The following is a 14,006-nucleotide window of genomic DNA, read 5'->3' on the forward strand; positions in this document are numbered from 1 at the left end:
TTTAACATTTTCACTAAATAGATCCTATACGTATTTTAGATTTGTAAATGGAGCTGTTTTAAAATTTTTATTTCTAATTATGCATTGCTGGTTTATAGAAATATAGCTGATTTTTATAGATTAACTTTATATCTTGTGACATTGCTGAAATTGATTTTCGAAAGTTGAATCAGCCTAAAATTCTCAGGATAAACCTCATTTGGTCATAATGTACTATCCTTTTAATATATTTCTGGGTACTATTTGTTAGTATTTTGTTGAGAACTTTTAACTCTAGATTCATGAGAGATATTGTTCTGTAGTTTTCCCTGTAATTTACAAAAATTTGACTTTGTATTATGGTAATATTAGTCTCATATAATCAGTTGAGAAGTTTTTCTACCTTTTATATTTTTTGGAAGAGACTGTTGAATTGGTCTTTCTTCTTTCATATTTTGCTAGAATTTATCATTGAAGTCATCTGGGCCTGGAGTTTTTTGTTTTTATTTCTTGAAAGATTTTAAACTATAAATTTCACTTTAAAAAAATATATAGGACTATACAGGTTTTCTGTTTCTTCTTGAGAAAGTTTTCGTAGTTTTTCTTTATTAAGAATTTGGTCCATTTCATTTAAGTTGCTGAATTCATTGGCATAAACTTGGTCATACTAGTCCTTATTCTTCTTCTAATATATGTAGAATCTCTAGTGATATCCTTTCTTTCATTCTCGTTATTGATAATTCTCTCCGCTTCCTTATTTTCCCTCATCAGTCCCCCTAGAGGTTTATTCATTTTATTGATCATTTCAAAGAATCGCTTTTGGTTACATGCGATTACGTTGGTTACTTTCTCTATTGTTTTGTTGTTTTCCATTTTATTGATATGTGCTCTTACCTTTACTATTGCTTTCTGTTTGTTTGGATTTATTATGATGTCTTTTTAAAATTTCTTAAGGTGGAAGCTTAAACAATTGATTTGAGACCATTTGAAGTGAAAGATTTCACACATGCATATTTGACGTGGACTGACTTTTCTTATCCAAGTACAGAAGTAACTGCAGTGGCCATTTAAAAATATAGCATGTCAGTAGCTGTGCTAGTTACTATAAATGTTCACTTTCCCAAAAATCTTTAACTGTCTGCTCTCTGTGATGTTTCAGTAATATTCAGTTAATATATTTATTTCTCATGACAACACTGATAGGTTGTAGAAACGGAGGCTCACTAGCAACTTGCATGTGTTTGCCCAGTGGAGAGACTGAGATTTGAACCTAATAATAACTGATCATTTTTTTCCAAGCCAGAGCATTGGCTTGTTCTACACATTTGCTGAGCACCTAATCTGTGCCAGTACTGTTCTTGCTCTCTGGGGTACTTGGTAAATGAGGGCAGTCTGATTCCTGCCCTCCGGAACTCTCAGTCTAGAGGAGGAGACAGACGTAACACATAATTAGGATAACAGTTATTTTATTAGAGTGTCATCGAGTAAATGGTTCTGCAGGATTTTTACAGCTCTCTGCTTCCTAGGTTTATTTTGATGTTGTGGAGCGCTCAACAGGAAAAATTGTGGATACATCCTTGATTTTCAACATTAGGATCAGTGATGTGAATGATCATGCACCCCAGTTTCCAGAGAAGGAATTTAACATCACTGTGCAAGAAAACCAATCTGCAGGTGTGTGCGGCTGGGGGGCTGCCGGGCTTCCTTCTGTCTCTGCTCTGTTCCTTTTCATTAATATTGATGAGGAGCTTGATCCTAGTCATCTTCAGGGAGAGTTTTTACTGTTCACATCTCAAAGATCGCAGGCCTTGGATCTGAGCGAAATGCTTTGAGGTCCGTAAGCCTCATTTTGTATCGGCAATAAAATGATGTGGGAATTACATCAGTGGGAAGGGTTGATATGTAAATGCCATTCTAAAAATAAAGCCACATGCAGTGAGGGAGAAAGAGCTGGGTGATGAGCTTCTGCATATCTCTGCACATTTTTTGTCTGTAAAATGGCAACACGATCACATCTATAGCCTCCGAGTTACAGATACTGTGCATTCTTAAACCCAACCGACTCTTACTAGAATGTGGATTTATTTTAATAACAAAAATCATTTTTTTGTGTAATCATCTCTCCAAAAAATTCCAAGAAATGAAAAGACTGAAAAAGAAAGCATCTTTAATGTTACCCATGAGAGATAACAACCATTAGTGTTTCAGTTTGTATTCTTTCAGCATTTTTGTGTGCATTTTCTGTGTGTGTGTATACACATGCTGTGTGTTAAAATTATATATGTGTATGCATTCACACATTTTTATGTATAATTACAAATGCATATTTGTATATACATACATTTTTTCATCTTTATCATAGTACACATTGTATATGCGTATATGGTAAATATTTACACATATTTGGTGTGCTTTTTCACAGGTGCATATTTATAAATTTCCTCTCTAAAGGTGCAATTTTACTGTTTGTAACCTGATATTTTTCTAAAATACCCTGTTGTGTAATATTTTATGGATGTGCTTTAAAGTATTTGACCGATCTCCTATGGTTGAACATTTATGTTTTTTTGCCACTTTCTGTTATTTTCATAAAATATATTTCAATGATAAAATTTAAGCTAAATCTGTGTCCCAATCAAGCATTATTTACTTAGCATGAATTCAGAGATGTAGACTTGCTGGTTTGCACTGTGCATACAATGTAGGGGTCCTCATTTGCTGACCTGCCCCCAGTCCACGAAGATGCTTGGTGTGTTGTTGGTCTTTGATAACTATGTGCTTGAACATTTTGCTATGTTTCTTCACCATTTCCATGTTCTATCAGTTGCTTTTTCCTTTCTTTTCTTCATTTTTCTGTTAGTGTGTTTGTCATTTTTCTTGATTTTAACCTCTGCAGTCTATATTAAGAATATCTGCCTGCCATGTATGTTTCAGATATATTTTCCTGCTTTATCATTTTCTTTTAAATTTTGTCCACAGTTTTTTGCCAGAAATTAAAAGTGTAATCTGATCCACCAATGTAAGTCTTCTGCATTGGCAGTCATGATTAGAAAGTTCTTGATCTTATAACTAATTAAATATTCATCCTTATCTTTTCTAGTATGTCCATAGTTTATTTTATATTTAAACATTCCACTCATTTTGGTATATGCCCCAATGCCATTTAGCAAATAATTCATCCTCTTACTGGTTTGATAGGCTACCTTTATCTGATAGTAACAATTTTTAAAAATTCTTTCTAGGGCAACCTATTTTTCAGATGTTAGCAGTCGATTTGGATGAAGAAAACACTCCAAATTCTCAAGTCCTTTACTTCCTCATTTCTCAAACACCATTACTGAAAGAAAGTGGTTTCCGGGTTGATCGCCTTAGTGGAGAAATACGACTCTCTGGCTGCTTAGATTATGAGGTTATGTGGATTTTATTATTTTTTTTAAATGAAATGTGTGGCCCATCCTTGAGCCCCAGGCTTAGATTCTACATTTGTAGTGGGGAACCCTCTGTGGCTAGATTTGCTATTGAAATTCCTAAACAGAATATTTCTTTATTAATATTTTCCTTTCCTGTATTTGAGGGGCTTAACTTTCCTTTTCCTCCCACATAGACCGCTCCTCAGTTTACACTGCTAATCAGAGCCAGGGACTGTGGAGAACCGTCACTGTCATCCACGACCACCGTTCACGTGGATGTGCAAGAAGGCAACAACCACAGGCCTGCATTTACCCAGGAGAACGTGAGGCTCCTGGGCCGCCCCAACGTCTAAGCCCCAAAACAAGTAGCCCTTGGGTCCTAGGCTCAGTTTTTCTCAGAGAGGGTGTTAGGCTGTTATCATATTGCTGTGAAGAAATACCTCAGACTGGGTAATTTATAAAGAAAAGAGGTTTAATTGGCTCATGGTTCTGCAGGCTTTACAGGAAGCCTGGGGCTGGCACCGGCTCAGCTTCTAGGGAGGCCTCAGGACGCCTATGATCATGGCGGAAGGACGGGGGGAGCAGGCATGTCACTCGGTGACAACAAGAGCATGCAAGACACGGGAGGTGGGTGGGGAAGAATGAGGAACGAGAGAGGTAAGAGGGGCCACACACTTTTAAATGACCAGATCTCATGTGAACTCAGGGCCAGAGCTTCCTTATCACCAAGGGGATGGCCGGAGCTATTTATGAGGGATCTGCCCCACGATCCAAACACTTCCCACCAGGCCCCACCTCCAACACTGGGGATCACATTTCAGCATGAGATTTGGGCGGGGACAGATCTCCAATCTATATCGCGCAGTCACCCAAGATATGTGCAATTCTCCAAAGTGACTTAAGCTAGAATCAAGAAGCCAAATCATATTGACATAGAAGCAGTTCATAATGGTCACATGAGCTTACATTTTTGACTGCTGTATGCCAGAAACTATGCTAAGAACTTTTACATGCATTTTTTTCATTTTTGATTATTGAAACTACAACACGATTTCTGTTTTACAGATGGGAAAACTGAGGTCTAGGGGAAGACAGGGAATTCCTGTTTACTTGGAGTCAGGGGTTCCTATGCTCAGCCCAACTGACACTGGGCCAGATGATTATTTGGAGTGGGGGCTACTCTGTGTGCTGTGGGATATTCACCAGCATCCCTGGCCTCCGCCCAGTAGATGTCAGTAGCACCCCTCAGCTGTGACAACCAAAAGTGTCACCAGACATTGCCAAATGTCCCTCAGGGAGAAGAATCACCCTTGGGTGAGAAGTCTGCACCTGAGGTTTTCACACCGTGTTCAGGATTCTAGAGGGAAGGTGAGCAGGTAGGCTTTGGCCTCGCCTTCCATACCTTACCTTATCCAAGTACAGAAGTAACTGCAGTGATCATTTAAAAACATTGTATGTCAGGGTCCACATGGGATTTCCCAGGCTGCAAGACTCCCAGCCTTTAAGAAAGCATTGAAAACCGCTGTGTAAGATGGTTTGGGATGGGTGCCCCACCTAAGGCATGTGAGATGGCTAAGAGATAAAATAAGAATCACTCAAGATCTATTTCCAATATTTTATTTTTTACTATTCTATATGTATTTTTAAAAAAGTAAATATCCACCATATTTCCTTTCTCCTGACTCTCTTTCTTGACTACTGAGTTAAAACCCTCCCTCTTCTTTCCTGGGACACACTGTAGCTCCTTTGTGCTTTCTTCTGCTTAGTAGTGTTCTACTTAATCAGTTTTATTTATTTTATAAATCCCCCTACACACACACACACACACACACACACACACACACACACACACACTCAGCTCTCAGCTCCATCAAGGACGGAATTTTTGCCTGTCTTGTTCATGGCATCTGAAATGGAATGTGGCACATAGAAGCTGTTGTTGAATAAATGATGCAAACAATTATTTTTAAAAGGTGTCGTTTAATTAGAAAAAAAACCTGTATAAACCAAAGTGAAATGTTTGCAAACCAAAGCACCTCACCAGAAGTATATAATAACTACAAAATAATATTATGCTTGAACCTTGTTTCAAAATCTTTTCCTGGCTTGGTAAAAAGCAATGCTCTCAAAAATATGGCTGGAAAAAAAATATACCCTCTTATTTTGAAGTGCTTGTCTAGAAACATTGCCTCCAAAAGTATTGAATAACAAGCTATTTTGAAGATCTACATGTGTTAGAAAAATGATCACCTTAATCTGAATAACCACAAGTGTCCTATTTTAGGGGAAGAGCTAGGATTTTTAGAGAGCATAAACTAGGATTGTGTATTATTATTTTTAAAATTCTTAGAAAAAATAGGGCATTGAGTTGGATTTAAGAGTACTTTAAGAATTATTTAGCGAGTCACAGGTAGGAGGGGGCAGATATTCCAACGGATGCACCTTCTGCTGTAACAGACGGAGTTGCAAATCCCTTAGGGCAGGTTTAGCAGCATGAGGAATATCCAGGGTGTTGTGATGAGGAGCAACATTCTTTCTCCTTCTCTCTCTTGCTCTCTCTCTGCTTCTCTCCCTCCTTCCTCTCTGCTTTCCTTTTCAATTGTGTTTTTGTTTCCATGACATGGACATGATGATTGCTTCTTTCAGTATAAGGTTCAGATTCCTGAAGGCCGAGCCAGCCAGGGCGTGTTGCGTCTCCTGGTTCAAGATCGAGATTCTCCATTTACATCAGCTTGGAGAGCAAAATTCAACATATTGCATGGCAATGAAGAGGGGCATTTTGACATTTCGACTGACCCTGAGACCAACGAAGGGATATTAAATGTTATCAAGGTAACACCATACCGGTGACATACCAACCAGTTAGTGGCAGACGCTGAGGCCTCTTCTGTAGGATCACTCACAATGAACCAGGGAGCTAACGTCCGTGGATGCTGGGTGCTGAGCCCATTACGTACCACACGTCACCAGGCAAGGAAGGCAGGGTCTCAGTGCCACTTCTGTGTGTGGGCTGAGGACTCCTCCTACCAAAATGATATCAATAATAAAACTTATTTTGATATGACTAAATACTTCACCATTTAATTTTTTGTTGTTGTAGGCAAAATGTAATAGATTTACATAGGCCTTAAAATGATTATTCTTTTTCAGATGTGATTAAAAAATGAAAACATTTTCTTCAACACTAAAAGTTCTTTCTTTTCATCTGAGTTTTCAATGTTTAAGACTTTTAAAGTTTAAAACAAATGGGAGTGCATCTGTGTGGCTCCAAGAGTATGGAGAGCCCCTGGCACTGTGCCTAATGGAGAAGCTGGCCTGGAAGAAAGTATTAATATTACCATCTCATTTACTGATTAGGAAACCAAAGCCCAGAGGGGTTAGGTCCTTTACACAAAGCCACACAGCTTGAGGGGTGGAGTGGAGGATCCCACTGGGGCAGTCTGACCCCAGTGCCTCTAGTCTTCATTGCTCACAACCAGCCCTAGAGTGACCAGGGCCTCTAGTGCAGTGCAGGGCAGGTGAGTCACCTGGCGACAAGGCAGACCTGAGTCAGCAGGTCTGGCACAGAGCCCAAGATTCGCCTGCCCATTTGACCAGCTCCCAGGGGATGCTGATGGCCTGCGGACCGTGCTATGAATAGCAAGGCTCTGTAGACGCTGCACCAGATGCCTGGGGTTGAATTTTCAAAATATTCCCAGGCTTTCAATCCTTTTAAGTCAACTGACCACTTTGTACCCTGAATAACTATGATCATTAATATCTATATTTCCCTAAGTTCCCCTGATTTTTTTGCTGCATGGTTGTCTCATTAATGTTTCATTAGGCTATGGTTTTTGTTGCATTTTTCATTACCCTCTGAAGGATGGTGGCTCTTTTCAACCAGCAGAGGAGGAGGGAAAAAATAAAAGAGAAAAGAACTCCATAAATGATTTGAAAATGAGCTGTAGACTGTCTTTTGATCATTATCAAAGACAACGTAAATAATAAATGAAGTGCAAAAGCCACAAGCTCTGAGTTTGCAATGATGACTCGGCGCTGGGCTTCCTCTGGCCAGAGGAGCAGCAGGTGCTAATGAAATCCTCTCTCTGGGGTTCCAGCCTTTGGATTATGAGACTCGCCCAGCGCAAAGCCTCATCATTGTCGTGGAGAATGAGGAGAGGCTCGTCTTCTGTGAGAGAGGAAAGCTTCAGCCGCCAAGGAAGGCAGCAGCCAGCGCCACTGTGAGTGTGCAGGTGACAGACGCCAACGACCCACCAGCCTTTCACCCCCAGAGCTTCATTGTCAATAAAGAGGAGGGCGCCAGGCCTGGGACCCTGTTGGGAACTTTTAATGCCATGGATCCAGACAGCCAGATAAGGTGAGAAGAGAGGGCCAAGAAGGGCGGTTGTTTAAGTGGAAATAGCCACATAACCAAGAGGGCTCCTGTTAGAAAACCAGCTCGGCCGGGCGCGGTGGCTCACGCCTGTAATCCCAGCGCTTTGGGAGGCCGAGGCGGGTGGATCATGAGGTCAAGAGATCGAGACCATCCTGGCTAACAAGGTGAAACCCCGTCTCTACTAAAAATACAAAAAATTAGCCGGGCGCGGTGGCGGGCGCCTGTAGTCCCAGCTACTCGGGAGGCTGAGGCAGGAGAATGGCGTGAACCCGGGAAGCGGAGCTTGCAGTGAGCCGAGATTGCGCCACTGCAGTCCGCAGTCCGGCCTGGGCGACAGAGCGAGACTCCGTCTCAAAAAAAAAAAAAAAAAAAGAAAAGAAAACCAGCTCCTTGGACGTGTTCACGAGGTTGCCTCAGTCTCCGTGATGAAAATACAAGAAGCCACAGTGCATGACCACTGACCTGAGTTAAATGTCGTCTTCTATCCATAGGTTTTTCTGACCCCAGCAGAAGAACTCACTTGTTGGTTTTCCTTTGCATCTTCCATGTGTTCCTTTTGTATTCTTTCCTTTGTGTTAGAATAATCCGTTACATTTTTCTGTCTCCCCCTCTGTACCAGAAGTTATAAACCAGTACCTCTCTTGCTTCTGGGCAAGAAAAGTGAGGGTTTTTTTTGTAAATTGTGGTAAAATATACATAAAATTTACCATTTTATCCATTTGTAAGGGTACGGGTCAGTGGCATTAAGTGCATTCACATCGTTGTGCACCATCACCTCCCTCCATCTCCAGAACTCTTTTCATCTGGCAAAACAGAAACTCTGTCTCCATTAACCACTCATTCCCCCTTCTCCAGCTCCTGGCCTCCACCATTTGACTTTTTGTCTCTCTGAGTTTGATGACTCCAGGTCATCAAAGCAGAATCATACAACATTTGTCTTTAGGTGACTGGCTTATTTCACTTTGCATAATGTCCTCAAAGTTCATGCACGTTTAGCATGTATCAGAATGTCCTTCCTTCTGATGCTGAATATGCATATGTGGTATTGACACATTTTTGTTTACCCACTCATCCATCGATGGGCACTTGGGTGGCATATGGCCTGAATCTCTTGATGTTCTTGAAGAAATGGAAGAAATTGGCATTTTTGGGTCTATGTTCCATGAGACCATGATCATGGGGACAGAAAGGGGTCATGAGTCATGCCCCTTCTCTCTCCAGGCTGAGCTCAGCAGTTGGCCCCAGACCCCATTCCACCAGCTTCACTCATTTCTCGTGCTTACTTGGCCTTGGTCCACACTTCAGTGTGAGATTCCTCTCCTTACAGCAACACTTCTCAACTTATCTGTTGGGAATGGCTAGATTTTTTAAAAATTTACAATTCATTATGGAGTGATAAGTTTGCAAAATATAATGAAATGGAATTACTAGAAAAATTTTCATGCACTAGGTGGACATGACAATGCTGATGACTCTAAGGGCTTCTCAACACTTGCTCTTCATTTTTGCAGTTATCTCATTGTGAGCAGCCAACCAACAGCTCACAGACCCCTTCTGGTGCACAGTGGTGCACCTTGAGTTAGCAAGGCTCTTAAGAAGTAGCTGTCAAACTATAGTGTGTATCAGTCTCTGGGGGAACTTGTTAAAATGCAGATTGCTGGGCCCCACCCCTACAATTTCTTTTCTTTTTTTTTTTTCTTTTTTTTGAGATGGAGTCTCTCTCTTTCACCCACGCTGGAGTGCAGTGGCATAATCTTGACTCACTGCAACCTCCACCTCCCAGGTTCTTGTGATTCTCCTGCCTCAGCCTCCTGAGTAGCTGGGACTACAGGCACATGCTGCCACGTCTGGCTAATTTTTGTAATTTTAGTAGAGACGGGGTTTTGCCATGTTGGCCAGGCTGGTTTCCAACCCACCCATAGAATTTGATTGAGAGGTCTGGGGTCAGGACTGAGATTTGCATTTCTAAGAAGCTCCCAAGGGTGCCCATGATGCTGGCTGGGGATCCCTTTAGGCACCACCAACAGGAGCCTTTCCTAATTCATTGCTGTCTTCCTGTCTCTTGAGGATGGTTGGCTCATACTTAGGTCTCAGGAAATGTTTGGACTGTGCTGAAATCAAGAACTAACAGTCCATCATTTTAGCCTCAATATGGCTTTTTCCAGGAGGCAGGATGAGTGTCTTTTGTGACAGGGTGGAGGCATGATCTGGGTTGGGGGCAGCTTTGGTTTCCTCTAGTTCTGCTTCATCTGCATTAGCTGAGGGAGCTGCCTTTTGGCCTGAGATAATCCACAGAGGAACTCTGAGTTTCTTCCCCTCGTTTGTAAACATTGCAAAATCACAGTGCTTCTAAGGAACTTCTGGAACTTTCCCTAAGAGGTGAAGCAGTGCACAAAAAGCTTCAATCCCTTTAAAAACTGTGACCCACGCAACATGAGAGAGGGATCCTTGCTGACCCTTTGAAAAACATTTGCCCAGAAGATGAAGGAAAAGCATAAGGAGAAACTGCCCCTCTCCGCACCTTTCTGGGACCTGCACTTTTTGTTGTTGTTGTTGTTTGCCTGAGTCCAGGAGGTTCCTGCTGCGGTGCCCTCAACAGGTAGCTGGGGTGGCAACCTGGCAAGGTTGCAAAGGATGCAATCCAATGGCTGACAGCTCTCAGGAATGCTGGAGGGCTTGGCGTGGCCCACCCCTTACAGTGGTGTCAGGTTCACATAGGTGAGGGGGATGTAGAAGACCACTTTGAGGAATAGGGTTACCCAACTGTGAACTGCCAGGGCTCTGCTGCAAAGGGAACACACCAGGGGTAAAGTCCTAGGTTTCTGTTGCAAGGGCAGGTTGGTTTTTCACACTAAGCTAACATCATCTACAGGCCACTGAAGATGGGTTCCTTTCCAGGATGAATCATCTCCCCAAGGCAGACAAAACTATGTTCAGTCCAACAAGGAGGGGGACGCTTGGTCTTCTGGTGAATGTCAATTCCACAGACCTAGGAGAGTCTTTAGGCTGTCCTCCCTGTGCTTCCATTCCTTTCGTGAATTAAACACTCTCGTAGTTTAATTGCTCTTAGAATTTCTCAAATTACTTGTGGTAGAAATAGTGTTTCTATGACATATTTTGTTTTTTTATGCAACTTTTTTATCTTTTAATGTAAGTTTTTAATTTTAAAAATTGCTGTCCGTTTTCCTTCTACAAGATATGAACTGGTTCATGACCCAGCAAATTGGGTCAGCGTCGACAAAAACTCCGGAGTGGTCATCACCGTGGAGCCAATTGACCGAGAATCCCCTCATGTAAATAACAGTTTTTATGTAATCATCATTCACGCTGTTGATGATGGTGAGTGTTTACCCAAAATTGGAAAAATAAAATGCTCATTCTTGCTTCCTGCGGGAAAATAACCCTGGTGAGCGTCTTTCAGCACAGCAGAGAAAAGGATAAAATAAACCTTGTTATCACTCTGCATCCATGCTGGTGATTATTTTTGGTAATAATTCTTAAAATGGTAAACAAGGGACCAATACCATCGAAAGAGGGCAGTATTCATTCAGAAGAGACAATTAAACCAGCAAGGAGGCTGCAATCAAACCCAGCATCTTTTTCATCTGTTCATGAGCTAACTCTTTAGCTCTTTGTCAAAGCCAATGATGTGTGATAAATATTTAGCACAGCTTCCCTGTGCTTGGGATGGCATACGAGCTCAGATAAATGGGACTGTAAGGGACACATTTGTCATAAACCAGAATGGGTGGTTTTATAAGCCTGTTTCAGCATTTTTCTCTACACTCTCCTAAGGCTGAAACTTTAAACACACCAAAGCAGAGTTGAAGAAATAAAAATGTTCAAATAACTTTAAAATTGTATTTAAGAAAGTCTGTGAACTAAAACCCAAGCTCCAAGTGATATATCACTATACGTTCCATTCTGTAATTAACTAGTGGAATGTTGGCGGGGGGCAATGGAGATATGAAACACGTGTTCCTAATCAGCATTAAGGGAGGAGAAAAAATGGGGCCAGTGTTTCAGGGTTCCGTCATTCTGTTATGGATGATTTTATGATTGGTACTTTTTTTTTCCTTTATTTTTTGCTTTTTGTATTTCAAAAGCTTTTGGGGTACAAGTGGTTTTTGGTTACGTAGATGAATTATGCAGTGGTGAAGTCTAAGATTTTAGTGCACTGGTCACCTGAGTAGAGTACCTTGTATCCAATGTGAGATTTCTTAGCCCTTGGCTCCCTCCTCCCCTGCTTCTGGGTCTCCAGAGTTCATGATATCACTCATGCCTTTGTGTATCCATAGCTTAGCTCCCACTTATAAGTGAGAACATACAGTATTTGATTTTCTATTCCTGAGTTATTCACTTAGAAGAATGGCCTCCAGCTCTATTCAAGTGTCTGCAAAAAAACATGATTTCATTCTTTTTTATGGCTGAGTAGTATTCCATAGTATACATATGCCACATTTTCTTTATCCACTCATTGGTCGATGGGCATTTAGGTTGGCTCCATATATTTGCAGTTATGAAGTGATGATTGCCACTTTTTTGAATTAGAAAAAGTCGTTTTAGATAATTGTAGATTCACTTGCAGTTTTAAGAAATAATCTAGTGGATCCTGAGTATCCTTTGCCAGTTTTCCCCAGGGGCAACACCTTGCAGGACTACAGTGTAACCTTGTAACCAGTACATCAACGCGGAGACGCAGCGCATTTGCCTCCCCTTGGGGACCCCCATGGTGCCCTTCTTTAGTCACACCCATTTTCCTCCACCCCACCCATCCTTGATGCCTGGCACCATTGATTGACCTTTTGTTTTTTTAATGAAGCCACATTCTACCTTGTTCTACAAGTGATTTGAGGTGGTAAGTGCTTTATTAGCTTACCCAAATATTCTGAATGCTCATAAAAGCAGGAAAACAGATCACGTGCATGCCAGGAGAGCTTATGACGTTGAAAGGGAAACAGTTCCAGTATTTCAGGAATATTTTTTTTCTGAGAGACGGAGAGTGCTCATTCTCCAGAGCTGTGTGTGCACGAGATAAACAACTCCTGAAACTTCCTCCCCATACAAGGCTTCCCACCGCAGACTGCTACAGGGACCCTAATGCTCTTCCTGTCTGACATCAATGACAACGTCCCGACTCTCCGGCCACGTTCCCGCTACATGGAGGTCTGTGAGTCTGCTGTGCATGAGCCCCTCCACATCGAGGCAGAGGATCCGGACCTGGAGCCGTTCTCTGACCCATTTACATTTGAATTGGACAATACCTGGGGAAATGCGGAGGACACATGGAAGTTGGGGAGAAATTGGGGTGAGTTTTTGTATTGGTTACGGGCAAAGAGTGGAAAATGCCAGATATCCAATTCAAACAGATTTAGGCAAAAAAGGACTTTATTAGCTTAAAAAACCGGAGAGGTCTGCGTTCTGGCAGAGCTGGCTCTAGGTGCTCAAAGGATATCCCTGGATATCCTTCCCACACATGGTCTGCCTTTCTCTAGGTTCCTTCTTTTTTAGGAAACTCTCCTCATCAGGGGGTAGGAGGCTGCTGGGAGTCCCTGAGACATATTCTTGCATCTGGCAAGAAGGGTGTTTCCAGGGAAGCTCCAGGATTGACGTCACTGTTTGGCCTGGGTCAGCTGCCCTGTCAATCACTGTGGGTGGGACTTGGGAGGGCGGATGTGCTGATTGGCTGGTTCCCAGCCCACACCTGGACCTTGTTGGGATCTGGGCTCACCCTCTCCTGATTCATACTGAGAATTCAGGAAGTGTGGGCTTCCCTAAGGAAACACTGGGGCACTGTTACCAGAAGATGAACATGCTGAGCAGGTTAAAAGCAACTGGCATCCACTGTCAACACTCTCTTCTGTGCCTCTAGCCGTGGCGTCTGTAGACTGTGGCACGGTTTCAGCTGAAACTGTGTGCTCAAGTTTGTAGTTCTCAGACCTGGAGTGTGTGGTAAAGCACTTCGCCTTGCCCAAAGAGAGGTCTGGTCTTTGTCCTTGGGGTCTGGGTGATCTCTATTGGGGTATCATGTCTGACACCAGTGTCTCTTTACCTGGGGTGTCTTGGGCTGAGCCGGATAGGGGCAATGTGATTTACACTGGGGACTTCTGGTCACATAGTATCAGTCTATTACCAGAGAGGCTGGAGACTGAGGCCGCCCACCTGGGAGGCCCACCAGGTTGCCTGACCAAGCCCCAGGAGGACACTGGAGCCTGAGGCTCAGGTGAACGTCCCTGACTGCA

At 42.3% G+C, this 14,006-nt stretch overlaps 1 protein-coding gene across 3 annotated transcripts in view, besides 1 other annotated feature; it reads left to right on the top strand.

Annotated features, from left to right (window-relative positions):
* CDH26 (cadherin 26) overlaps positions 1-14,006 on the top strand; it is a 77,512-nt gene that overhangs the window by 22,995 nt on the left and 40,511 nt on the right. For 2 of the 3 annotated variants that reach the window (NR_145482.2, NM_177980.4), the window contains exons 5-11: positions 1,506-1,653; positions 3,222-3,388; positions 3,584-3,712; positions 6,036-6,221; positions 7,487-7,746; positions 10,961-11,103; positions 12,833-13,072. Coding sequence is in view for 2 of the 3 variants with exons in the window: in NM_177980.4 (NP_817089.1) it covers positions 1,506-1,653; positions 3,222-3,388; positions 3,584-3,712; positions 6,036-6,221; positions 7,487-7,746; positions 10,961-11,103; positions 12,833-13,072 (1,273 nt within the window). In the remaining variant the exon portion in view is untranslated. Of the gene's footprint in view, positions 1-1,505; positions 1,654-3,221; positions 3,389-3,583; positions 3,713-4,578; positions 4,758-6,035; positions 6,222-7,486; positions 7,747-10,960; positions 11,104-12,832; positions 13,073-14,006 lie in introns of those variants that run through there. The other variant, XM_011528970.4, reaches the window with a different exon arrangement.
* Positions 12,815-13,347: an enhancer, noted in NCBI's record as "NANOG-H3K27ac hESC enhancer chr20:58569287-58569819 (GRCh37/hg19 assembly coordinates)". NCBI's record gives its function as "activates a minimal SCP1, AML or CMV promoter by ChIP-STARR-seq in naive H9 embryonic stem cells {active_cell/tissue: H9 hESC(naive)}" and the evidence as "EXISTENCE:reporter gene assay evidence [ECO:0000049][PMID:30033119]".

The sequence above is a fragment of the Homo sapiens genome, chromosome 20 (genome assembly GCF_000001405.40).
Source record: "Homo sapiens chromosome 20, GRCh38.p14 Primary Assembly".
Classification (NCBI taxonomy): Eukaryota; Metazoa; Chordata; class Mammalia; order Primates; family Hominidae; genus Homo; species Homo sapiens.